This window comes from Homo sapiens, chromosome 6 (genome assembly GCF_000001405.40).
Source record: "Homo sapiens chromosome 6, GRCh38.p14 Primary Assembly".
Classification (NCBI taxonomy): Eukaryota; Metazoa; Chordata; class Mammalia; order Primates; family Hominidae; genus Homo; species Homo sapiens.
Window position 1 is genome coordinate 24,402,035 of NC_000006.12, and position 27,332 is coordinate 24,429,366.

General features: G+C 39.7%; 2 protein-coding genes across 10 annotated transcripts in view, besides 1 other annotated feature; one reads left to right on the forward strand and one right to left on the reverse strand.

The window, feature by feature from the left end:
- The first annotated feature begins 901 nt into the window (after positions 1 to 901).
- On the forward strand, positions 902 to 24,156 carry MRS2 (magnesium transporter MRS2). Of its 6 annotated transcripts, NM_001286264.2 has the most exons (12): positions 902 to 1,202; positions 3,134 to 3,207; positions 6,374 to 6,410; positions 7,427 to 7,539; positions 8,693 to 8,765; positions 10,252 to 10,361; positions 12,999 to 13,129; positions 14,363 to 14,479; positions 16,050 to 16,202; positions 16,427 to 16,544; positions 20,903 to 21,016; positions 21,550 to 24,156. In NM_001286264.2, the coding sequence occupies exons 1-12, from the start codon at positions 1,013 to 1,015 to the stop codon at positions 21,658 to 21,660; spliced, it is 1,341 nt and encodes a 446-aa protein (NP_001273193.1). In that variant the 5' UTR covers positions 902 to 1,012; the 3' UTR covers positions 21,661 to 24,156. The 6 variants fall into 6 exon arrangements, 5 of the variants coding, with proteins under 5 accessions (NP_001273193.1, NP_065713.1, XP_005249299.1 ...); NM_020662.4 differs by lacking the exon at positions 8,693 to 8,765 and having other exon boundaries at positions 10,188 to 10,361; NR_104423.2 differs by lacking the exons at positions 3,134 to 3,207; positions 8,693 to 8,765 and having other exon boundaries at positions 10,188 to 10,361; positions 12,982 to 13,129.
- Positions 1,539 to 2,273: an enhancer, noted in NCBI's record as "NANOG-H3K27ac-H3K4me1 hESC enhancer chr6:24403801-24404535 (GRCh37/hg19 assembly coordinates)". NCBI's record gives its function as "activates a minimal SCP1, AML or CMV promoter by ChIP-STARR-seq in primed H9 embryonic stem cells {active_cell/tissue: H9 hESC(primed)}" and the evidence as "EXISTENCE:reporter gene assay evidence [ECO:0000049][PMID:30033119]".
- Positions 21,935 to 27,332, reverse strand: part of GPLD1 (glycosylphosphatidylinositol specific phospholipase D1) — a 71,319-nt gene continuing 65,921 nt past the window's right edge. For 3 of the 4 annotated variants that reach the window (XM_017010753.3, NM_001503.4, XM_047418657.1), the window contains one exon: positions 23,798 to 27,084. In XM_017010753.3, the coding sequence (XP_016866242.1) occupies positions 26,998 to 27,084 (87 nt within the window). In that variant the 3' untranslated portion in view covers positions 23,798 to 26,997. Of the gene's footprint in view, positions 22,949 to 23,797; positions 27,085 to 27,332 lie in introns of those variants that run through there. The other variant, XR_007059240.1, reaches the window with a different exon arrangement.

Sequence of the window (27,332 nt, forward strand, 5' to 3'; positions counted from 1 at the left end):
GCTCTCTTTTCCTGCACAGCCAGATAAGGAATTTCCTTATCTGACAGAGAAAACTCTTTTCCAAAGAAATGCAATTGTCTTAAAACCCGTTCCTTAGGAATCGCATTAAATAATCAGAAGAGATTAATCACCCAGAGAAGAGACAAAAACTGAAAGTCATAGCCACACTGAGACTTTTCATAGATACTTCTGAGGGTAGCTCCAAGAGATTACCTGGGAAACTTTACCTGTATAATAGGACAATTTTTGTTCAGAGTGAAGTTTCACAGCTTGTCCACAAGCGATTGTTTGTACTTCTGTCCCACTGAATGTCCAAGGAGAATCATTTGCAAACCACTGTCTGGCTTTCGGGCCCATTCATACCTATCTCCCTCTACTCAACAAAGAAGGGTATACAAGCATCTGGACCTTAATTGAGTTATTGAGTAATCACTCTTCTGTGATTTTTCCCTATGCACGTTAAGCAAATTTTGTATGCCTTTTTCTCCTGCTAATCTGTCTACTTAGTTCATTCCAGCAACTTTCAGAGGGCAAAAGTAGGAGCTTTCCCTCTTGCTCCCTACACCACGTTAAATTTAAATATAAATTAAATGATGTGGGAATGGGTAACCTGCTCATTTCCAAACTGCAATTTTCATAGGTATGAAAATTCTCCACAAACTACAAAACCATGACACTCCAAGCGCCCAAGAACCTAGGTTGGACAGCTCACTTAGTGCAGGTAAACGTGCTCCACCCATCTCCCAGCCCGCCTGCCCCCTCACTTAGGTACAGGTGCAGGTACAGGTAGGCAAGCAAACGTCTATTGGCTGTGGACTTAACAGGCTCGCCCACAGGTACCTTCCGAGCATGCGTGGGGAAGTAGCACGCAGGCGCGGCACGCCCCGCGCATGCCTGGTGCACAGAGTCTGCAGGTCGGGCGGTAGCGACAGGTCAGAGCTGCGGCCTGAGCAGCCAGCGTCCGGCATGAAGGTCTGGGGTCTGGCTGCTGCCTGCTTCTTGCTCCAGCACCATGGAATGCCTGCGCAGTTTACCCTGCCTCCTGCCCCGCGCGATGAGACTTCCCCGGCGGACGCTGTGTGCCCTGGCCTTGGACGTGACCTCTGTGGGTCCTCCCGTTGCTGCCTGCGGCCGCCGAGCCAACCTGATTGGAAGGAGCCGAGCGGCGCAGCTTTGCGGGCCCGACCGGCTCCGCGTGGCAGGTACTGCCCTTCCCCGGCAACAGCCTTGGGACGCTGGTCTTGCAGTGACCTTAGACTGCTGCCCCAGCCGTCCGGCGCGGCGCGCCTGTTGCTCCGCGCCCTCCGCAGGCCTCGGCCTCCCGCGTGTCCTGTGAGCTTGCACAGGCCCGCGGGCCGAGCTGCGTCCCACTCGCTCAGAATGCGACCTTGCTATGTGCGCTGTGCCCTGCCGGGGTCCCAGCGGCCAACCCTCTGCCTTCTCCTCCACCGCCCTTGCTGCAGATTATGTAACCATAGGAACAACCTAGGAATCGTTTACAGACCGTGATCACGTTAGTTAACACCCGCTTAAGTGCTCTTGTAAGAGGTTTTTTCTGTGTTGTTTTTGAGACAGGGTCTTACTATGTTGCCCAGGCTGGACTCAAACTCCTTGCCTCGAGCCATCCTAACGCATTAGCCTCGCAAAGCGCTGGGATTACAGGCGTGAGCCACCACACCTGGCCGAGAGGTGTTTTTAAACAAGGATTTCATCTGTTCGGAAGTCATAAGTATAAATTAATACTTCCCTGTTTTCTGTTTCTTCGTTATGGACACATTTATACAGTTGTCCAGTTGCACGGAGATTGGGGACGCACCTAGAAGTGAGGCTAAAGACTGAGTTGTTTCTGAGAACGACTTACTTTCAACTACAGTACTCTATAAGTAAACAGCCAGGGAGATCGGATTGAGAAAAAAAAATCTTATTTGCTGTTTATTTTTTCACCAAATGTTGAAGCATGGTGAAAAGTTAAGATTTTCACAAATGTGAGTGCAAATATTTGAGGAATAAAAGGTATTGAAATGAATGACTTTATTAAGAACATAGCAGTGTCCTCAAATATGTTTTCTCAATTGTGCTCTCAAAAGCCTCCCAAAGTAACTCCTCGTCAGCACCTCATTCTCCACTTATTGGAGAGGCTAAGTTGGGTTACATGCTCTGCACCCTCAATTGATAATGCTTGGGAATCCAGTTTCAGCAAGTTGGAGGAAACTTTTAGGACAAGCATTGACGTTCACAATCTCAATCCCGGTTACACTCTAATTTGTGACATTAAAACATTGAAAGGCATTTGTAATCAGCAAATGCCTTTTACCTTTATTCATCTTACCCTTATAGTGATAATTTGTATTTTGTAAAAGGGAAATGAAACTTCAGATACTAACAAATTACAACAATCATTACGTGTATGTAGTAGAAAAAAGATCAGAAATAGGTTTTTTTTTCTACAGTCTCTGGAATCAGTGTAATTACTTTGGAAGCACAAAACAGTGTCCTCTGTCAGTCATTAAATGTACTTGATTATACTTCACCGCTCACTTCGACTCAGTCTAATCACGTTTTAAATAGACAATTTTAAAATAAAGATTTGTCATTTCAGCTCAGTGGGGGTATTTCATAAGTATTCACTATAAAGGATATCTGTAGAAAAGAAGTAAAATCATAGGTTTCATAATTTATGAGCCAGTCAACTGGAATGCTTGAAAGATCAGGTGGTACTTAGGACCTATGTTTTCTAAAATGTATCTACTACCAAATGTGCATGAAGAGTCTTTTAAATTATGCGAAAAGGAAGACCAGACATTTTCTTAAATCTCAGAACACGATGTTGCACATTTGTTCATCCAACTCTGAGATATCAGTAATAATTAGAAAGGTAAAAGGGTGATTGGAATCCATCAGTTATTTTAATGCCTCACCTAAGCCATTAGTTTTAAAAATCATTCCCTGCCAAACCTAAGATAGTCACTAACAGATGTTAAAATTAAGAAGAGTATTTCTTCTTTTCTTATAGGAAAAATATTTAAAAATAATAAAATAGTCTGAAGGCCTCCACATACTTTGAGAGTTGTATTTTAGCTCTATGTGAAAACCAATCATGTGACCACAGGAATTCTCTTAATTTATTCTTCAGGTGAAGTGCACCGGTTTAGAACCTCTGACGTCTCTCAAGCCACTTTAGCCAGTGTAGCCCCAGTATTTACTGTGGTGAGTATGTACAGTACATTGGAAATCGTACAGAAAGTGCTTCCCATACATAAGTTAACTCGTTGGACTGTTGGCCAAGATACTACTTATTTTGAGCTTTATAATCATCATAGCTACATGTCGTGGCTGTTGTGCCTGGCCAGTGACCTAAGTGCCTGCTAGATTTGCTTAACAATGATCTTGAACCTTTGCTAATGACTGCAGCTCCCCTTTTAATACTAGAACAGGTCAATCACAATTCAGAGCCATAAAGAGGCTTGAACCTATGTTCTGCAAGATAATACGCAGGCAGAAGCATTTTGAAGGCAGCAGAGAGTAGTATTTAAAAATGCATGCTTTGAAAGGTCATGATCTCTAACTTTTCTCTGAAATGGTTCGGGGGTGGGGATGAGGGGGGAAATGAATGAATAAGATAATGTATCACACGTATTTTTAGAGAAAGAAGGCTGTTGGGGCAAAATGTTAACAAAGGTGACTCTAGGTGAAAGCTCTATGGGAATTGGTTGTAATATTCTTGCAACTTCTTTGTAGGCTTTTTTTTTTTTTCCAAAAAAAAAAAAAGTCTTGATAAAAAGGTGTGCCGGCCGGGCGTGGTGGCTCACGCCTGTAATTCCAACACTTTGGGAGGCCGAGGTGGGCAGATCATGAGGTCAGGAGATTGAGACCATCCTGGCTAACACAGTGAAACCCCATCTCTACTAAAAATACAAAAAATTAGCCAGGCCTGGTGGTGGGCGCCTGTAGTCCCAGCTACTTGGGAGGCTGAGGCAGGAGAATGGCATGAACCCAGGAGGCGGAGCTTGCAGTGAGCCTGGATCATGCCACTGCACTCCAGCCTGGCAGACAGAGTGAGACTCCATCTCAAAAAAAAAAAAAAAAAGGTGTGCCTATTCTGAGCCAGACTTCCTAAATTCCAATCTCACTCTGCCTCTTATTGACTAGGTGGCCTTGGACAAGTTACAATAACATCTTTGTGCCTTAGTTTTCTCATCTGAAAACTGAGCATAACCTACCATATAGAATTGTTATGAGGATTAAATTAACTCATATATAGAAAGCCCTTAAACTAGTGCCTCACATATAGTAAGCCTCAAATATATTTCATTAGGATTATTTAGGCTTGTTAACATAAGAGCTTTTCTTTATAAACTATATAAAATTAAATAACCCCCAGAATTGCGTTTAAAAGTTACCACTGTTATTCATTGTTCTGGAAGAGTTGGCCAATTTAGTTAAGAATACAAAATCAGGGCCAGGCACGGTGGCTCACGCCTGTAATCCCAACACTTTGGGAGGCTGAGGTGGGCATATCATTTGAGGTCAGGAGTTTTAGACCAGCCTGACCAACATGGTGAAACCCCGTCTCTACTAAAAAACAAAAAAATTAGCCAGGCGTGGTGGTGCACGCCTGTAGTCCCAGCTACTCAGGAGGCTGAGGCAGGAGAATCGCTTGAACCTGGGAGGTGGAGGTTGCAGTGAGCCAAGATTGCACCACTGCACTCCAGCCTGGGCAACAGAGCAAGACTCTGTCTCAAAAAAAGAATACAAAGTCAAACGTGAAATACTGAAAGTTAGTTCTTTGCAGGTGAAATAATTGCAAAGAACACTTAAGAAATTCATAAAGCTATGGAATCTGAGAAAGAAAAATTTAATTTGTGCTGTTTGAAATAGTTTAGAAAGTGAGCTGGTTACAAAGTAAATATTTTTTTCTTTATAATTTGTATGATTTAAAAAATTTTTTTAAGTTCCATTAAAGAAAAAAAGGGTACATATAAATATTGAGATGCAAAAATATTCAGCATATGTTGCTAATTTGGAAGGAGGGAGACTGCAAAGCAGTATGTATAAGTATGTTTTATTAGGAAAATGTTTGGAAGGATATTCAGTGAAATATTGACATGGTTTTCTCTAAAATTTGTCATTTCAGGTGATTAATATAGTTTTATGTTACGTATATTTATTTTCAAATTTTCTGCAGTGGGTTTATGTATTTGTGAAATATAAGGCTGAAAGCTAGACTATTACACAAATATAAAGCTTTCTTTGATATAAATTTTCCTTTAATGTTCTATGGAACTTATATATTCATATTAATTTTATTTTTGCTGATGAGAAGCAAGATAAAATATATATATTGTGAGTTTTTATTGTGTGATTAACACAGCATGTATATTTCCATGGTAGTAACCCAAGACCTATATTGTACTTAAACCTGTATGTTGGAGTGTCTTTCTGAAATGTGTCTGTCGTAGTAAGTAGTACAGCTCAGCACATAGTGATTCATTAAATGTTTCACAGCTTCAAACTTGACTGTGGATAAACATCACTGAAAGATAGTCCCCTACTTTGCAGGAAATAGGTGCATTTTCTGTATCAAATCCTCTCTTCAAACTATCAGAAGGGGTTCTGTAAATCTTTATTGATTCTGCAACACCCACCAAAGAGACTTTGGCCTCATGTAGACATTTAGATTCACAAGGCGGGCCATACTTGGTCCCAGTCTACTCAGAAGGATAAGGGACAGGAGAAACAACAGGGTAGTGTTAGGTGTTTCCTCTTCAAAAGAAGTCTTTGCAGCCATCCAGGGGCTTCTCTGGTCCTCTGAGTGATCGCTCAGTGACAAGGAGATAAGATTCTCAAAGGTGGATGTGAGATTCATCTTGGCTCGAATCCCCATGCCCCGTAGTGACAGTATCCCTTGTAACCATCGCAGGGGCACAGTGTCCAGGATTCTGGCTGGGAACATGGCCACAAGAGCCACCACAATCAGGAAAGGGCAAAGAGAGCTATTGCTTTTCACCTGATAACTGTAATTTGTTCGTCTTCCCAGTCCAGTGCAGTCTACCAGTCAATGGTCATTTTTACCATAAGGATTGTTACCTAGTAACAACACAACTGATACTCCTTTATCAACTTTCTAGAGGAACCAAGATAGAAAGTTAAACCCAGGTCTGATTTTTCCTATCAAAGGAAAAAAGGATTTTAAAAAAACCCTTAACTCATAACTGGATTTAATCTAAAGAAGGTCAGTAATGGTTTATATTTGCATTTCAACATTTTGGGGATATTACTTACAATACCATAAATTCTTAACTAAATTAGCAATACCATAAGTAGCATTCTAATTTGAAAGAAAATCATAATTTGTTTTATTCTCTATTTTCAGACAAAATTTGACAAACAGGGAAACGTTACTTCTTTTGGTGAGTGATTAGCATTCTAAATCATTTTTTAAACATTTAATGAGTGAATCTGATAGAAATCAAGAAATTGTAGTATTTTGAGTAAAATATTCTTTGCATATACAGGTGTGTTGAAAGAGATCTTTCTTCAGCATTTGTCCATCAGTCTTAATTGGAGCTGGCAATACTCAGACTGTGTGTATTCTCCCAGAATTGTTTTCTTCTAGCAGGAGCCACTTTTTGCTCTAACAGGCTATTGAAGGAATATTTGGGAGAGCAGAGGCTGGTGTAGAACTGGAGCCCAGAGACACACTCTTTTTCTCTTTTGTCTCTCTTGTTGGCGTCCCTTTCACTGCCCTCATTCATTCTCCTGAAGCATGTTTAAGGCAGAGTCACATAATACCACTGACATTGCAGTGGGTGACAAAAGATGAACAGGGCCATGTCACTGCATGGCAGCCACATGGAACTCTGCTGCTGATGGCTCTCTGTGGACAGCTACTTTAAAAAGTGAGACTAGGCATTACTTTACAGTGTGACTTCAGATGTGAGTTTCACATCTCCCTTGAGAATGAATCAGTCTCAGGTAATAAATTCAGCTTTTCTCATTTTTGTATTAGTCTAAGAACAAAGAAAATCAAGCTTATCTGTTCACATATATAAAATACTGAAGATGATGTTGTAGTAAAAATAGAAAATATAGTTGTGTACAGTTTATATTTAAGAGAGATAACCTGTCTCTAGAGCTGGACATTTATAGGTTCTAATGATGCATAGTTGTGGTTTCTGTATTAGTCTCAAGGGTCTTCTAAGTAGTGAGAAAGTTATGAGGTATAGATAAGAAAATCATTAGTTTGACTCTATTTAGCCCGAGTATGTTTTCTAGGTAAAAATGGATATTAAAAGACTTAATTTTAGTTTTTGTTTCTGGTAGTAACCAAAAATTGTCTTGATGGTGGTGGGAGGACTGCTCTGATGGAAAAATCTAAGCCATTTAATGTATTTGGTTTAGCCCTCTCTGTTTATTTCTTTTATAGAAAGGAAGAAAACTGAATTATACCAAGAGTTAGGTCTTCAAGCCAGAGATTTGAGATTTCAGCATGTAATGAGTATCACAGTCAGAAACAATAGGATTATCATGAGAATGGAGGTAAAATATTTTATTTTCATCTATGTTTCTCCAATACAATCTTATAAAAGTTACCTTCTAACTATCTTGATTAGTATCTAGGTTAAAAGTAATTTTGGAATAGAAATAGCTACCTGAAACATAGGATGTTTTATAGCTTAATATGCTATTATGAGTAGAACTCATTTTATATGGATTATATGCACATGTTCAATAGGCATAACACTGCTGTGTTTTAAGTTGGAAAAGCTCTGACTGTGGTGTTCATTCTCACTGTTGGGATTTACTCTCTAGTTCTGGAAACTATAAGACAATCCTGATTTATAATAGATATATATCCAATTGTGTACAGTTACATGTAATTATAGTATAACCTGAGCTACCAAAAATGTATTCTGGCTTTCTAAATAGCACAGGAATAGACATTAAATTTTATAGCCTTAATTTTTTTTTTGAGATGGAGTTTTGCTCTTGTTGCCCAGGCTGGCACGATCTTGGCTCACTGCAACCTCCACCTCCCAGGTTCAAGCAATTCTCCTGCCTCAGCCTTCTGAGTAGCTGGGATTACAGGCATAAGCCACCAAACCCAGCTAATTTTGTATTTTTAGTAGACATGGGGTTTCTCCATGTTGGTCAGGCTGCTCTGAAACTCCCGACCTCAGGTGATCCACCTGCCTCTGCCTCCCAAAGTGCTGGGATTACAGGCATGAGCCACCGTGCCTGGCCAGTTTAAATTTTTTTAATGGAAAACTTTCTGAAATATATTGTATTTTCCCTTACCTATTCAGAGCATGCCAAATAATAATTTGACTTTCTTTAGTGATTCAGAGTTAATGTGGGTTTCAGTTATTTTGGTGGGCTAATGTTTAGGTTCAAAAATAGATGAATGGTATTGGCCCTGTAGTGGGTATGAGACTTTCTTCAAAGAGTCTTTGATGGCAGATTTTTGTTCATTTTTCTAGAACTAATCAAAATAATAAAAAATGGGCCAGTATTGGTAGCATGTGCCTTTAGTCCCAGCTACTCAGGAGGCTGAAGTGGGAGGGTCACCAGAGACCAGGAGTTTGTGACCAGCCTAAGCAACATAGCAAGATCCCATCTCTAAAAATAAATAAGTAAATAAAAAATACTTTATCAAAAATGAAGCAGTCTTCTCCCATGTGATTTTCTTCAGAAATATTCTCTACTCTTGGAATCAGTAGCTAGCATTCTTCAAAACAGTGTCTCTTTCATGGAGAGACAGACAGGTATGTGAAAAAGCAAATTCAGCAGAATGATAATTGTGTAATCTAACTGGTGGGTATATGGTGTTCACTGCAATCTTTCAACTTTTCTGTATAAAAATTTTCATGAGGCTAGGTTGTGGTGGCTCACATCTGTAATCCCAGCACTTTGGGAGGCCGAGAGGGGTGGATCACCTGAGGTCAGGAGTTCGAGACCAGCCTGACCAACATGGTGAAACCCCGTCTCTACTAAAAAATACAAAAATTAGCCAGGCATGGTGGCGGGTGCCTGTAATTCCAGCTACTCAGGAGGCTGAGGTAGGAGAATAGCTTGAACCCTGAAGGTGGAGGTTGCAGTGAGCCGAGATTGCCCCACTGCACTCCAGCCTGGGTGACAGAGCAAGACTTCCATCTCAAAAAAAAAAAAGAAAAAAAAATTCATGATAGAATGTTGGAAAAATGTAAAAATAGAAAATTATCTCTAATTTCTATATCACTGATAAAGTGGCTACCTTTATCTACTTTTAACATACAAGATAACCAGTCTTTTTAGAAAAAATTCTAATTTCATATTGTTCTAAATTAGAGTAGTAAGGCTATGTTTCATCTTAATTTCAGATTTTGTTTATATGCTTTAGTGGTGTTTTAAAAAGGAAACTTCCATTTGTGCCAAACTAATTATGATTAAACTAAATCTTTTCTAAAAGTCTGCTCAATACCTGACTTTTAGGAAGACCTTATCTTGTTCCCTTTATTTATTTATTTATTTTTTCCAAAAAAGAAAGACGGAGTCTCGCTCTGTCGCCAGGCTGGAGTGCAGTGGCACAATCTCAGCTCACTGCAAACTCCGCCTCCCAGGTTCAAGCGATTCTCCTGCCTCAGCCTCTGAAGTAGCTGGGACTACAGGTGTGGGCCACCACGCCTAACTGATTTTTGTATTTTTAGTAGAGACGGGGTTTCACCATGTTGGCCAGGATGGTCTCGATCTCTTGACCTCATGATCCACCTTCCTCAGCCTCCAAAAGTGCTGGGATTACAGGCATGAGCCACCATGCCCGGCTTTCTGGGGGTATTTTTTGGTGTTTTTTTTTTTGTTTTTGTTTTTTTTTCATGATTACCCCAGAAGTCTTAGTAAATATATAATTTATGTGAATAATTCCAGTTTTATTGAGAGTGAGTTAGCAGTATCAAGACATATATTTTTTAAGTTTCTTTTCTTTTGAAAAAAAAAACCTTGATTTTTTTGAAAAACAAAAATGAACACTGATTTGGTTTAGTCTTAATCCACAATTAGTAAAGTATTAAACCAAATTTTATGAATGTTCTTTTTTCCTACAGCTCTACAATTTGCATATATATATGTATGTATACATATATATGTATATACATGCATGTGTGTATATACACTCACATATTTATATGTTTTGGTTTTTTTTTTTTTAACAGTATTTGAAAGCTGTGATAACTCCAGAGTGTCTTCTGATATTAGATTATCGTAATTTAAACTTAGAGCAATGGCTGTTCCGGGAACTCCCTTCACAGTTGTCTGGAGAGGGTCAACTCGTTACATACCCTTTACCTTTTGAGTTTAGAGCTATAGAAGCACTCCTGCAATATTGGGTAAGTCTGTTTTTATTTAGCTTCTTGGGTTTATTCTGATTTTGAAATGTCATTGAGTGGGAAGACAAGTTGGGGTATTGTTTCAATGGCATGTCCCCTGACCACATCCTGCCCCGAAACAAGTCGTCTCTAAGGATCCTACATGGAGATATCACTTAATTCTTAAATGTTATGACCCAGTCAAATAGAACTAAAGACTCTATGTATATTATAAAAATGCTTGACATGTGATAATTATTTTATTAAATCATTTCATCAAGTCATTTTTTGATTTGTTTGTACAATCCTTTGTTTGAGCCAGGTAAATGATGCATCTTTTTGAGACCTAGATTGACATAGGAATCACGCACAGTTCTTCCAGTGACTCCTCCTTTAAATTAAGAGTCCTTAGATGTCTGAGACTCCTGTCAGGCTCTAAACAAGGGTGGTTCTCTGCTTCCCTGACCCCACAAATCTTTCATTATCTTTTCTTCCTCCTGTTAAGTCAGGATGGTACTGTTCAGGAACTGGCTACATGCAAGAGTTGGTGCTGGGAGCATACTAACCAGAGTGGGAGGAGGAGAGAGGGTAGAGAGGACATGAGGTGCATTGGGTTGGGTGAACCTGGCACACTTTTCTTTTGTCTGCCTTGCTCTGAAAGAATAGATGGCTACACTTCCTGCTTGGGGTAATTAATGAGCACCAGCTAGCACCAGCCAGTGAGATGATAAGTAGTGGGAGCCCAGTTACCAAGCAGGGGGAAAGCAGAAGAGAGAAAGAAGATGTAAACAGTGGTAAGTCATGGGCTCCACAGGCTGGGTAAGCTCTCAGGAGCTCATGCTGTTAGGAGAAAGACAGGGATCTTAAAGGGAGCAGGAGGGGAAGGAGAGAGGCTAGGCTGGCATGGGTCTCCGGCCTAGAGATTGGCTGTGGGGAGAATAGAGAGGGAGTTCAGGATGTCTGCTGGGATACACATTCTTCTTCCTTTAAATGGGGTCCCAGGAAGATTTCCTTACGAAACAACACTACATAGAAGCAAGACCAGCCACCTCTCAAAAGGGATAAGTTTTCGAACAAGGGAAAGCTCCCCAAACCCACCTAAGGGACCAAGACATACCATGAGTAGATATGCCTCACAAATACCCTATCTGTGACCCTCAGCAGCCTCCCCAACCACTACAAAAGTCCACACCTTGCTGAGCAGAGGGTTTGATATCTCTTAGATTAAAAGATGTGGTCTGCCTATTTGGCTGTCCAGTCTTCCCTCCCACCCAAGGACTTCTTAACCCGGAAGCAGTTCCTCTGGAGACGAAATAAACAACATGTCTGCAGAGGCACTGTGACTCTGGACTTGTTTCCAAATAAAAAAATCTGTTTCACAGTAATTGTGCTTCTGAGATAAAGACTATATGCTGTAATTTACGTCATCAGTTTTACCGCTTGATTTAGTTAGTATATGCTATTTGCCAACTGGCATGGAAGTGTTTCAGTATTTTAACAACTATATAGCAGGATTAGTGCATACCTGCCGAATATCAAATATCAAACCATACTTGTGTTAACCTAAATAGTCTATTTTTGACTTTACTCTGATATGTTTATGTTTTAAAGCTCAAGTTTTTATTTTCAAAGAGCTTTGTAGGAATTTTGAACCATATTCTGTTTACAGAGAACACAGGTATTACTGAAAGCTTGTGTTTTAATAATAGCAGATTTTATTTTACTTGATCCCTCATTACTTCATAATGAATGTCTATAGGAGAAAGACTTTTTTTTTTAAATTTTTTTAGTATTTATTGATCATTCTTGGGTGTTTCTCGGAGAGGGGGATTTGGCAGGGTCATAGGACAATAGTGGAGGGAAGGTCAGCAGATAAACATGTGAACAAGGGTCTCTGGTTTTCCTAGGAAGAGGACCCTGCCGCCTTCCGCAGTGTTTGTGTCCCTGGGTACTTGAGATTAGGGAGTGGTGATGACTCTTAACGAGCATGCTGCCTTCAAGCATCTGTTTAACAAAGCACATCTTGCACCGCCCTTAATCCATTTAACCCTGAGTGGACACAGCACATGTTTCAGAGAGCACAGGGTTGGGGGTAAGGTTATAGATTAACAGCATCCCAAGGCAGAAGAATTTTTCTTAGTACAGAACAAAATGGAGTCTCCTATGTCTACTTCTTTCTACACAGACACAGTAACAATCTGATCTCTCTTTCTTTTCTCCACATTTCCCCCTTTTCTATTCGACAAAACCGCCATCATCATCGTGGCCCGTTCTCAATGAGCTGTTGGGTACACCTCCCAGACGGGGTGGCGGCTGGGCAGAGGGGCTCATCACTTCCCAGACGGGGCGGCCGGGCAGAGGTGCCCCTCACCTCCCGGACGGGGCGGCTGGCCGGGCGGGAGGAGAAAGACTCTTACGAGAGTTAGCTCCTTGTCAACCAAATCTGTGCCTAAAGATAACATCATACATAGTTCTTTGAACCCAGAGGATCTAGTTTTTGAATCATCTGGAATAGGCATTCTAGAATTATCTATGTTCTGAAATGTTACCAGCATTTCAAGCTACTACAGATTTCTGTATTTAATCAGAGGATTCACTGATCCTGAATATTCTAAAAAGATTGTTTTAATTCTTATGAAAGGTCATGTTGTTATCTAGATCAACACCCTTCAGGGGAAACTTAGCATTTTGCAGCCACTGATCCTTGAGACCTTGGATGCTTTGGTGGACCCCAAACATTCTTCTGTAGACAGAAGCAAACTGCACATTTTACTACAGAATGGCAAAAGGTAAATATGGATGATGTATCACATTGGGAGTTGGAGACAAATATCTTAAAATCAATTATTAACATTTTGTTTCATAACTTTTTTTAAAGTATGAAAGTAGCCTAGGTGGGAAGTTGAGCTAAAAGGGGCACACAATCTACTGTTTGTTGAAAAGATACTTTGCATGAAATGTCATGTAAGGCTCTTTTCCGTATGTGATCTCATCTCATCACCCATTCAATAGTTGATATTGTCTTCATTTTGAAGATGAGAAAATTGAGGTTTGAGTAACTTGCCTAAATTTATATGGCTAGTAAATGGCAGATCTAAATCCAAATTCAAAGTCCATGTTGTTCTTTTTCTTTAAAATCATAATGCATTCCAGAATTTAATAACAATATTATATATGTATCATAAATAGAATAAACATGCTCTCAGGAGTTATACTCCCGAAATCCCTTCAAGAATTAACATTTAAAATTCCTGAATCAGTAGTTTCTTATCCAAAAATGTTGGAGTGTTTTTATCAGTTAAGAGTAACTAGTCTGTTCTATATTATCACTGCCATGTTGATTAATAAAATTCCCAAACCAAAAATCTTAAATTCACAAGCGATTTATGTTTCTGAGATAAGTAATGTATGATGAAATTTATATCACTGATAATTTTACCAATTAATTTAGATCTGGTTTGGGTTTTTTGTGGGTGTTTTTGAGACAGGGTTTCACTCCGTTGCCCAGGCTGGAGTGCAGTGGTGCAGTCTCAGCTCACTGCAGCCTTGGTTTGGGTTTTTTGTGGGTGTTTTTGAGACGGGGTTTCACTCCGTTGCCCAGGCTGGAGTGCAGTGGTGCAGTCTCAGCTCACTGCAGCCTTAACCTTCAGCAATCCTCCCACCTCCACCACCCAAGTAGCTGGGACTGCAGGCACATGCCACCATGCCCAGCTAATTTTCTAAATTTTTTTGTAGAGACAAGATCTCACTGTTGTCCAGGAGGGTCTCAAACTCCTGAGCTCAAGCAATCCTCCTGCCTTGGCCTCCTAAAGTGCTAGGATTACAGGCGTGACACCATGCCTGGCCAAATTGATTCTTAATTTGCCTGGTAAATACTCAACTTTTTTTTTTTTTTTAAATAAGTCATTGTTTAGCATGAATGTATAAGATAATATATTTGATAAGATACTCTAAAAACACTATTATGAAATGTTCTTATAAGTTTATTCTATTGATCATTTTTGTGTATCTATTTCTTATAGTCTATCAGAGTTAGAAACAGATATTAAAATTTTCAAAGAGTCAATTTTGGAGATCTTGGATGAGGAAGAGTTGCTAGAAGAGCTCTGTGTATCAAAATGGAGTGACCCACAAGTCTTGTAAGTATATAATTATACTTTGTTATTTATTTCCTTAGAGTAAATCTTTTGCCTTTTCCACTTCAAGGTGATTTTTCATACAGAATGTAACATTTTTCTGGACTACAGAATATAGAGATTTTTCATCCCCAGTTTCCCTTTTTTCCTGTGCAGTATCGTATCTAATTCAATGTAATTCTATGAGTATGCATACTGCATACCCAACACTGCTGACATGTGGTGAATATAAACACACAGTTACCTTTATATTCAAGGGACTGACCACCAGATTGGCATATACATCTACCAAAATAACTTACCTAGGAAGCAGAGTGGGAGAGAAATTTACATGGGGGAGGGAAAAGATGGGGTAAATACACGAGTAACACATTAACATGGATTATGTAAGTTCAGTCTAATGAAAATGTTAATCTTATAAACCTTTTATCTTTTATGAATTTAGAAATTGTTTATGCTTCTTGTGCACACTCCAGCTAAATGTTTACTTTTAAATACCCAAATATTTTGTTATTGTCTTTCTAGAGCAGTATCAGAAATTAATACACCTTTGTAATGAGTTTAGTTTCCACAGTCTGTACAGATTTTCTTACAGCACTTTGAAAAATTGGTTATTTATATCCTGATAAGGAAATAATAAGATAAAGGGGGCTATATAACATTTGGTAGATAGCCGATAGGTATGGTAGCAGAAACTGTTTGCTTTGCTTAGGCCAATCTGTCAATCTGTCTCTAATATGCTTTATGATACAGGTACCTCTTCAGAGTACTTCATTCCCCCTTACCCTTCTTGGTAGGGTAGGGGAGCAAAGTTATTACTGATATCATTCAAAAACATTTTCTTTATATGAAATCACATTATGTACACACCTCAAAAGGAAATGGTCTTGACATTTTTAGTTGTGGATTTTGTTTTACCTGATAGTGGTATTGGCTTTGCACTAATTCATCTGCATTCACATATCTGGATTTTCCTGTAACTGGCAGCATGTATCTGCATAAAAATCTCTTGGATTGGGGCCATGTAATACAGTGACACCAACTGGTCTACATAAGGATGGAACCTCTGTCCTCAACTCATCTGTAAAGTGTTTTGGATCAGTTGACATAGGTACTCACAGATTGGCCACAACAATAGAAAAGACAAAGGCAGCCAGGCGCTGTGGCTCATGCCTGTAATCCCAGCACTTTGGGAAGCCGAGGCAGGCAGATCACAAGGTCAGGAGTTCGAGACCAGCCTGTCCAATATGGTGAAACCCCATCTCTACTAAAAATACAAAAATTAGCTGGGCGTGGTGGCGGGCACCTGTAGTCCCAGCTACTGGGGAGGCTGAAGCAGGAGAACAGCTTGAACCTGGGAGGCAGAGGTTGCAGTGAGCCGAGATCGCGCCACTACACTCCAGCCTGGGAGCAGAGTGAAACTCCATCTCAAAAAAAAAAAAAGACAAGACAAGACAAAGGCTAGCTTTTCCACTGGTAGCTGAATGCTATATACTAATTTAGGAAGTTTTTGTCACTAAGTATATGATACACATGTTGGGAGTATGTTAATTATTTTCTCTTTTAATTGAAGTGAAAAGAGCAGTGCTGGGATTGACCATGCAGAAGAGATGGAGTTGCTGTTGGAAAACTACTACCGATTGGCTGACGATCTCTCCAATGCAGCTCGTGAGCTTAGGGTGCTGATTGATGATTCACAAAGTATTATTTTCATTAATCTGGACAGGTAAGAAAGCATTATATAAAACTAAGTTTTTTTAATAAAATAATTATAAGAAAGTTTTTAAGGAAATATTTTGTGAGGAATTACGCCATCATTATCATCTATACTACATTATTATTATTTTTTTTGTTGTGTAGGTTTCATCCATGTGGTCTGTATAGATTTGATGAATGTGCTGTATATAGTTAGTGGGCCCTTCTAATCTGAATAGGTGTTCTCCTCTCCAGCCACCGAAACGTGATGATGAGGTTGAATCTACAGCTGACCATGGGAACCTTCTCTCTTTCGCTCTTTGGACTAATGGGAGTTGCTTTTGGAATGAATTTGGAATCTTCCCTTGAAGAGGTGAGAATGTATTATTATTTCTAAAACTTGGGGGTTTTGGCCGGGCATGGTGGCTCATGTCAGTAATCCTAGCACTTTAGGAGGCTGAGGCAGGTGGATCACCTGAGGTCAGGAGTTTGAGACCAACCTGGCCAACATGGCGAAACCCTGTCTCTACTAAAAATACAAAAATTAGACAGGCACGGTGGCAGGCACCTGTAATCCCAGCTACTTGGGAGGCTGAGGCAGGAGAATCACTTGAACCCGGGAGGCGGAGGTTGCAGTGAGCTGAGATCGCGCCGTTGCACTCCAGCCTGGGAGACAGAGTGAGACTCTGTCTCCAAAAAAAAAGATTGGGTTTTGAAGATCGATATTTTTAATGGATTTAAAAAATAAAGGCTGGGCACCTTGGCTCAACGCCTGTAATCCCAGCACTTTGGGAGGCTGAGGCAGGTAGATCACGAGGTCAGGAGATCGAGGCCATCCTGGCTAACCCGGTGAAACCCTGTCTCTACTAAAAATACAAAAAATTAGCCGGGCGTGGTGGCAGACGCCTGTAGTCCCAGCTACTCCGGAGGCTGAGGCAGGAGAATGGCATGAACCTGGGAGGCGGAGCTTGCAGTGAGCCAGGATCACACCACTGCACTCCAGCCTGGGCGACAGGACAGAGTGAGACTCTGTCTCAAAAAATAAATAAATAAAAAGTCTAACCTGTAAACTACCATGGTGAAATAAAATATATAATGTAACTCACAATTCAGGCAGTACTGTTGGACCATGTTATAACCTAGATAAATACAGCCTAGGTTACTTTGTTTCCCAAAACATATAATTACAGATGGGAAAGGTGTGATAAAACAGTGTCTCTGTGAAGCAGTGTTAATGAAGAGTTTTTATTTTTTAATTCTTACATGTCTGGCAACGTACCAGGCGGTTTGCATACTTTATTTGGCTCAATCATTGCAACTCTGAAAATAGATATATTATCCCTACTTTGTAGATGAGAAGACTGAGGCTCAGAACATTTAACTTGCCCACAGGCATAGAGCTGGAAAAATAACAGAATTAGGACATGACCCCAAAGACTTGCACTTTCTACTGCTCTGTTGCCTTTCTGTATTAAGATAATACTTAACTCCCAGAGTTTTTCATTTCACTGTGGTTTTGTACAGTCATCCCTCAGTATCCAAGAAGAATTGGTTACAGGATCCCCACAGATACCAAAGTCTGTGGGTATTCAAGTCTCTGATATAAAATGACCCAGTACAGTCAACCTTGCATATCTGCAGATACAGAACCCACTGACTGTGTTTTCACAGAATAGCTTATTGTAAGTTTTCTAGAACTGAACCTGGATGTGCATCTGGCACAGTGTGATGCTGGATTCTGTGTCCTCATTAGTCTAACGAGTCTACTCTGTTGCCCACATCACCTCCCATTAGGACCACTATGCCCTTTTAAAAAGTGGTCTTTATAAGATGTAAGTATTATGACACCCTTCTGCATACAACTATTCAATGGCTTTTGATTAGCCTTAGGATAAAAATCCCGTCCTGCCGCACCGACTTGTCCATCTTGTGGGTAGCCACTTGTTACTACCTCTCTCAGTGTCCTTCCCAGACATGCTGCTTCCACTCCTCTCCCCTCAGATCCCCGTTTTGCTTAGTTACTTCCTCCTCATCTTTCAGGTCTCAAAGTAGTTGTCCCTTCACTGAATGCACCGACAACCTGGCCCAGTAAAGTTACTTTGTCGTCTGCGCCCAAATAATCCTACCCTTCCATCTGCTACATTCCTTAAATCTGCAATCCCTTGTTCAAAGCCTGCAAAAGAGCATGAGCTCCTTGAAGCAAAGACAGTATTAGTCATTTTTAATGTAAAGTATAAAAGAAAAGGAAATACATGTGTTCATTCATCTCACAAATACGTTTTTTTATTGCCTGTTATATACCAAGCACTGCTTTAGGCCCATTTAGCAGTGAGTCTGCCCTTGCGTAGGTTATATTGTAGTGGAGGAGAGAGTTCATAAACAAACAAAGTATGTTAAGTGCTAAGTGCCTCAGAGAAAAATAAAGCCAGAGAAGCGGATAGAGAATGTTAGGCAGTAGGATGTGTGGCATTTTAGAGATAGGGTGGTCAAGGAAGATGTAAGGCGGTAACACCCTGGTGGAGGCAGGAAGATCTGGGGGAGAGTGTTCTAAGTAGAGGGAACCACAGAAGTAAAGATTGAGGCAGGAACGATCTGAGCTTGTTCATGAAATGGCAAGAAGGTTGGAATGGTTAGAAGAGCATGAGTCAGGTGGAAAATGAGGTCCCAGATGCAGATAAGTATGATCATGTCAGTGACGTAGAGCGTGGTAGGGGTTTGGATTTCTAAGTGGGATAGGAACCCACTGGAGGTTTGAACTCAAATCTAGATCATTGGAAAGTTCAGAAGCAAGCAGAATACCTTGTGCAACATAATCCAGCCATTGACATTCTCAAAAGATACATCCAAAGACCTTTACAGATTCCCTAAGTGTGACTACAGGACTTTCTCTACAAGTCCCTGTCTTTTCTCTAAATACATAATCATGTTTATGTATATATACTCAATCTACAAGCTAACTCCATTTTATACTTTGATATTTTTCTCTCACTTAATTGCCAACTTTTCAAAACAATGGAAGATTTTTCAAATTCCTTTCTTATAGTTTTAGTATGTGCAATCCTAGGTACAGCACAGCCCATTTGTAATGAGATAAGAGTGGTAGGTGGTAGTGAGCTACGCTTGCTCAGTAGTAGGCTGAAAAGATTCAAATTAATGTCTTATCAGAATTACAAATTACACATCTTTGTAGGTGTCCTGAAGAATAGTTGAAAACATTAAATCCATGGATGTCAAATGTCTTTATTTCGATATAGTTAAAATTAATATTTGCCATGGTGAATCTGAGATAGGAAAAATATTTTAAGATAATTTCAGACTTCTGGAAAAGTTCCAAGAATAGTCAAAGAATTTCCATTTTCTTAAACCAGATTCCAAATATCAACATTTTATCACATTTGCTTTATCATTTCTTTGCTAGCATACTTTATTCTCTAAATTATTTGAGACTAAGAACAAATGTGATGTTCCTTTACTCCTAAATGTCTTAATACGTATTTCCTAAAACATGGACATCCTCTTACATAACCACAGTGCAGCTATCAAAATCAGGAAGTTAATACTGAAGTTATTTTCCAATCTAAAGACCCTACTCAGATTTTGCCACTTATCTCAGTAGTGCTTTTTATCACAAAGAAAATCTTAGATCACATATTGCATATAGGACTGGGGGTTGTGGTTCACACCTGTAATCCCAGCACTTTGGTAGGCCAAGGTGGGCAGATCACTTTAGGCCAGGAGTTCGAGACCAGCCTGACCAACATGGTGAAACCCCATCTCTACTAAAAATACAAAAATTAGCTGGGCATGGTGCCGCACACCTGTAATCCCAGCTACTCAGGGGGGCCGAGGCACAAGAATCGCTTGAATCAGGTAGACGGAGGTTGCAGTGAGCCAAGATTGAGCCACTGGACTCCATCCTGGGTGAAGAGCAAGACTCCATCTCAACAACAACAAAAAGAGGAGGCAGATTTCTGTTCAATAAGTGACATGCATTTCCATCAGTGATAGCTGATCAGTTGTGTAACAGGCTATCTTTGAGGAAGTGAGCTCTCAATCATTGGAGCCAATGATAACAGCATAGCTATAAATGGGATTCCTTCCTTGTGAGAGATTAAATTTAAATTCTGTGATTCTGTACATTAACTAAAAACAGTGTGCTGCAAAATATTACCACTCTGAAAATGACGGTGAGGAAGAATGTTTTTCTAAGTCTGAGGTTCCCAAACTTCCTTGGATCACGATGCCCTTAGTGTCTTAGTAATTTTTTCACAGTATCGGAAGACAAAAAATTTATTATGTTACAGATTCCTTTATGTTATTTCCCTTGCAACTTTAAAATATTCTGAGGTGCTATCGTGCCCAGCATAGCACCAGACATTCAGCTCACAGTTTGAGAACTGTGGATATAAGCAAAGACCTTAAATTGCGTGTCCTCTGGCATCATGACTTAAGATTTGCACGCATGTAAACAAAGGCTGCAAAGAAACACAAAGTAAAAGCAGTACATTTGGCATATAGATGATTTTAAAATATTTAAAACCTTTTAAATCATGTTCTTCTCCTGCTTTATTCTGTGGGTGCTATCAAGGCCCTTGTTTTTCTTAGTTCCTTTCTACAGGAAAGAGCTGTACAAATAACATAAGGCTTTCAAACTCTGGGGCAGTAACAATTCAAGGAATCTTCTAAGGAACCTGGCGTTTTGCGATGGAAATGAACTGTGTTCTCTTTTAGGACCATAGAATTTTTTGGCTGATTACAGGAATTATGTTCATGGGAAGTGGCCTCATCTGGAGGCGCCTGCTTTCATTCCTTGGACGACAGCTAGAAGCTCCATTGCCTCCTATGGTATGAAGGATATGGTTCACGGCGGTATTGTGGAAGGGTTATGATCATGGGCCCTAAAGTCAGAGCGCCTGGGATTAAGTTGTCACAGGCACTATGGCCCTTGCGAGTTGCTTTCTCAAACTTCCTTCAGTTTCCCTATCTGTCAGTTAAGTCGGTATTACCTGCTTCATAGGGTTATGGGAAGAATTAAACAATATGTGTAAAGCACTTACTAGCACACTGCCTAACACAATAAGTTAGAAATATAATTTGTGTAGAACTCTGACAACATACATTTAAACAGATGTTAGTAATTCTGGTATAAGGTTTGTCATAACCAAATGGAAATGTAGGAAACATTTATAACGTTCTTAAAAGATAGAAAATTCACCTCCATTTTCTTTGTACTTGAAGATGGCACCACTGGAATAAATACTTAAGACACTGATACTGCTTATAGTCCTTTCTTCACTGAGTAGTTACATAATACATCATTTTACTAGTGGCTTTTCTTTTAAAAAAGATACTAAAATTAATACTTCTGCTTTATTTAGATGGCTTCTTTACCTAAAAAGACTCTTCTGGCAGATAGAAGCATGGAATTGAAAAATAGCCTCAGACTGGATGGACTTGGATCAGGAAGGAGCATCCTAACAAACCGTTAGGAACAGCCCCGTGGATACTGAAGTTTTTTTTATGGTAGTTACAGGAAACTTCTGATACTCTTTTTATTATTTTCTTGTATAGAGTCAGACACTTGAAAAAAACTAATGTTTGAAGACAAAAATATTTTGGCAGTCACAATACCAGAACTGGATTGCATTTCCAGAATTCTGAGTTAAAGAAACAAAGTATTTGCTTTGTAAAAGGCCAAAATTCTATTTCCTACAAACTTTAAATGCTGTTTTTATAGATGTGATATGAGGCAACACAAGCACAGACAGTTGCATAGATTTTAATTTATACATATCAAGAAAAGTGCAATTTCATGCTGAATGAAGCGTAGGAACTTGACAAGCCCATAGGTAGCTATAGTTCTTTGTCAGTATAGGGAATTATGTTCATGTGAATTTCCTGATTCTCAGGTGACTAAAAAGCTAGCATTCTATGTATTAACCTTACAACAGACTCTGTAAGTTTGAGCTTTAAAAACCAAACTTTGACATAACCTTATTTCTTGTATTTGCCCCCTTTTTTTTATAAAAGGTGAATAAAAAGAAATAATTTAATATCACCATTGTATGGATTCCTAATCAAGATTTCACGTTCTCAGCCCCTGAGACTAGTTTTCTTTGCTCTCTGTAATTAGAGCCTTTGGAAGCAAAGTTGAAAGGAAGTATTTCCATTCTGTTACTGTTTTGTAGCACTTTGTCCATTTATTGATTTTTAAAGTAGATATTTAGATACCACCCCTGCCCTGCCCCAAAAAGAAAAATGTTTATTGTCCTGCTAATCTATATGCCTACACCTCAGAAGCTGACAGATGAGCTTCCTAAAACATGAGGATGAATAAATGTTAGAACTGTGATATCTTCTCATTTCCACAGAGATTTGGGTTTAAAACAAATGGCTAATATTTGTAAGCCTGAAAGCTGCCATCCTCTTTAACATCCTACCTACCTTTTAAAATATTTTCTGGAGGTTAAGTACAGTTAGGCACTAGAACATTTGTTAAGCCTCCCAAAGTAGTGTGCATGGAAGATTCTAGAGTGTCCAGCTCTTGCACTACAAATGTAATAATAACAGAATAAATACACTTACCCTGATGATATTGAGGGTACATGATTAGCCTAATGTGATGTCATATGAGGAAGTTTAGGAGTCCATTTTTCAGGTGGTTTGGTGATAGGAATAAAAATGTTACTCCCGTCGCTGATTTGGAAGAAAACCGATGAAGTACAAGTAAGGTTTCCCCACTCCTGTGTGTGGTCATGGGAAGCCATTAGAGGGAAGCTGCAGAACAGAATGGAACAGGACAGGCTGGGCTAGACTCGAGCACGCAGTGGCCCCTGTGCCACCACACTGTGGGTCAGGAACACGCGTCATGGTGTTCTTGTCGGAATGTGAACATACAGCACCCTCTAGCATTACGAATCTCTTAGGATTTTTAAGATTGTATTTGATAATACTTATATTTCACAGGGCACACTTTTGGCACACCTCAGAGCACACTGCTGCTATTTTGGGTCGTATCACTGTAAAATACATAATAAGTACTACTTAACTGTGACATGAAGAATTGGAATCCCAGAGGGCAACATTTGATTTGACTAAGATCAGGCATAAGATAGAATTTTTGTCATTTTTCCTTGCAGTTTTATTGACTTAGTTTATGAGCTTGGATAAAATAATTTTTTGATGAATCATGTCAATAAAAGGAAAAATAATGTAACTACCTCATAAGTCTGATAAAAGGAAGTTGCTAGTGTTTTATAGAATTTCTGAAGGTGGTTAAATCAAGTATGATTTCAAAATATCAACTAGTTCCACTTTTGTGATTGCAGGATGCTTCTTATACTAAAGTTCTCATAAATAATAAATCAGCTTATGCCAAAAATATATGAAGTTCCTTGGTTTTAAATTTTGAACTAAAATGGACTGAGCACATTAATTACTGTTTGAAAGTAGGTACCAAACACTGGGTTATGTGAGTGAGTAAGCAATCATATCGCCTGTCAAACACATCAAGTGTCGAACACGTCAAGGTGTGATACTGTCTTTGGAAGGCTCCTAAACAAATGTGAGCACAATTATTAACACCTTATTCTTCATGAACACAGACTGTTAAGCAGCACTAACCAATTTTATATTAAAAAGCTATTTATTTTGGTGAGTTATTCCAAGAGTTGTATACAGCTTTATTTTTTGGAATTGCAATATTAAAGTTGCACGTTGGATTTAACTCTCATGACTTTAGTAATACCTACAGAGGTGAGCTAATGGATGGTACATGGAGTAGGGACTGCAGAGACCCTAGTTTTGTCCCCACTCCATCTTCAAATAATTTTGGTCTCTTAGGTCTGTGATACAAAGGCATAAAACAATTCCTATCTTGAAGCCTTGAGAAAAGCTGTTACATATACGCAGATAGTAGCAAGACAGAAAATGCAAATATGTAAATGTCTTCTGATATCTTGAAATAAAGATAAATTTCAGTTAAACTTGTATAAGTTCAGATTTCTGTTAATGAGAAATTACAACCCTACAAGGTAAGGTCTTTACATTTTAGTTATTAAGCAGAATCAATGCTTAAAACTATAGTTAATACTTAGTGGAAAGAAAATTTAATCCATGTATCAGGATAATATATTAGACTGTCATGCATTAATTTTTTCCTGTATGCCAGGTTTTTTACATACGTGCCATATCAGTTGACCTTTTACAGTAGGAGTATAATTTACATTGTTTTTGACATTGGGGTTAGTATGGTTAAATGTCCTATAAACTTGAAGCTTGCTTCCATTTTTGTGGGTCTTAACCTCCACCTGGTGCTTGCTATTGGGTGTATTCAGGCATTGAGAAAAATATAAATCGTGAGGTAAATAATGGTCATGTTTAAACAGAGGCCTTATCATTTAGTGAAGCATAAAAACTGACACTATATAAATGCATCCGTCTAATGAAAAGACCCAGTACTGAGAAAAACATCCCTTTACTCAAGTGTCAGATGTCAGAGTGCTCTAACTGCTCAACTCATAAGTGAATACAACTAAGTAATTTCTGGTCCCCTAAAAATAACCATCCTTTTAATTAAAAGTAATTCTTCAGATAGGTTGGGCTACCAATAATTGTCCCTAAACAAAACCAAATGGCGCTTCCTTGTGCTTTTGCTGTGCCATAGGTTACTATGCAGCTAGCACATGTACCTCTTCCAGAAAAATGAGGTCATCCTGGGAGTGACCCAGAGATGCTCTCTAGGGATGTACCTCTTGATGTTCTTGTTAACTTTCCACTCTTCAGCTGGATTCCTCTTCCTGTCCCCTTTTCACCAGTCTCTACTCTTGAGAGAAGCTGAGAAGAGAAGGGCTCTTCTCATTTGTTATTTTCTCCTGCTTTTAGTATCATCTCACCCGTGGCAGAAGAAAGAGGTTCTTCCCAATTTAACACAAAATAAACTAGTTACTGTTTACAGATAATGCCCGCTAATGTTTACTGAAACTGAAACCCTATGATACATTCCATTCCCTTAAGTGTGCCACGCTGCAGGACTGACAAATGAAATCCATCCTACGAAAAACAGCCCAGGAACAAGCGAGGCCAAGGCCTGCTTTCCTCTCCGGCCCTTACAGTAGCGTGTGGCTCAGGCCACATCTTTTCCCTCTAGTTCTTTTGGCACAAGTTGTAACCTAATGCGACAAAGGTCCCTCATGAGATGGCTTAAAACTAGCAGTGTCGCTAGGCTCTTTAGGTGTTAGAACAGCCAACTCTACAAAAGTATTGGAGGGCACAGAAGGGTGATAGTCTTGGTTTTTATATTTGTCCTTCACTATATAAACATTGAAAAGGTATTAATCCTCATTAAGAAAGGATTATCGGCCAGGTCCTGTGGCTCACACATGTAATCCCAGCACTTTGGGAGGTCAAGGTGGGTGGATCACCTGAGATCAGGAGTTCGAGACCAGCCTGGCCAACATGGTGAAACCCTGTCTCTACTAAAAATACAAAAATTAGCCGGGCGTAGTATTGTGCACCTGTAGTCCCAGCTGCCTGGGAGGCTGAGACAGGAGAATCACTTGAACCTGGGAGGCGGAGGTTGCAGTGAGCTGAGATCACATCACTGCACTCCAGCCTGGGCAACAGAGCAAGACTCCGTCTCAAAAAAAAAAAAAAAAAAAAAGGACTATCATCCTTAGCAAACTAACACACGACCAGGAACAGAAAACCAAATACCAAGTATAGCATGTTCTCACAAGTGGGTGCTAAGTTAAAAGAACTTATGAACACAAAACAACACACACTGGGGTCTACTTGAGTGGGGAAGGTGGGAGGAACAGAAAAGATAAAACCTTCACATGTACCACTGAACCTAAAATAAAAGTTAAAAAGGACTAAGTCACAAGTGATTTGGAATGTGAGGTTATCCCTCACCCCCATGCTTTACTCTGTACTATTTTTCCTCCCTCAGTTTCTTTTTTTTTTTTTTTTCTGTATACTATGCTTTCTATTATACTTTGATTGGCATGGGCCAATCTGTTATTTTTAAGTTCAACTTTTTTTTAACTTTTAAGTTCAGGGGTACATGCGCAGGAAGTGCTGGTTTGTTACATACATAAAGGTGTGTCATGGGGGTTTGTTACACAGATTATTTCATCACCCTAAGTATCCATTAGTTATTTTTCCTGATCTCTCCCTCCTCCCACCTTCCGCCCTCTCATAGGCCCCAGTGTGTGTTGTTTCCCTCTATGTGTCCACGTGTTCTCATTTAGCTCCCACTTACAAGTGAGAATATGGAGTGTTTGGTTTTCTGTTCCTGCAATAGTTTATGAAGGATAATGGCCTCCAGCTCCATCCATGTCCCTGCAAAGGGCATGATCTTGTTCTTTCTTTATGGCTGAACAATTCTTTTTTTAAAAAAGGATGTTTTTAGGAGGAATTGTGTACAGAGACTGTTCTAACAGATAACCACAGAGGGACCTTTCCAGCCATTGGAAAGACATTCAAGAGGAAGAGGAAATAGGTTGTACAGCAGGTCTGACTACAGGCAATAAGTTGGGAAAGAAGAAAGGTTTAGATGCAAAGGGAGCGAGGAAGTAAACTGTGGAAGGAGACATGAGTAAGCAGAATGTCTGCTATTTCACATATTTCTGGTGCAGTCATATATTTACTGTATCAGATTTCCAGAGGGTGTGGCTGTTAGTGTGTCTCTCTACTCCCAGGAGCCCCATGTCTATCAGGATCTACCACCGCTCCACTGGATGTGCCACTTTGTCCATCAAAATGCTCACCATGGATGTGATTCAGCATGAGAGAGGTGGGCAGAGTGGGGAAATGCAGTGAAATCTTCAATCTGAGCCAAGGCTATAGACGTGAAGTGCCCCGGAGAGTCGGGCTCCCAAAGAACTCCTTCCAGCAGCAATGACGACTTGGTTCTGTAAGGGACACAAGACAGAATTCATGGCTCATTCATAACATCTATTGAGTTCCTATGGTAGTCCAGGCATCATGCTATGCTCTAGAAATATAAAGATGAATAAGACACTGGCCAGATCCCCTGGCTTGAACTCAAATGCCACTTTCCCTTTGTTTACAGACCGCTTTCTCACATCTATAAGTTCTGAAAACCGCAGCTAAGGATGCTCACCCCAATCCCTATTCTGGCACATAAATCATAAAGGAG

What these genes read in the sequence shown, in the direction of transcription:
- MRS2 (NM_001286264.2), top strand. Translation starts at nt 1,013, where the DNA reads ATGGAATGCCTGCGCAGTTTACCCTGCCTCCTGCCCCGCGCGATGAGA. An exon ending in TAGCCCCAGTATTTACTGTG is followed by an intron (nt 3,208 to 6,373) that starts GTGAGTATGTAC and finishes CTCTATTTTCAG; the next exon opens with ACAAAATTTGACAAACAGGG. An exon ending in AAGCACTCCTGCAATATTGG is followed by an intron (nt 10,362 to 12,998) that starts GTAAGTCTGTTT and finishes GTTGTTATCTAG; the next exon opens with ATCAACACCCTTCAGGGGAA.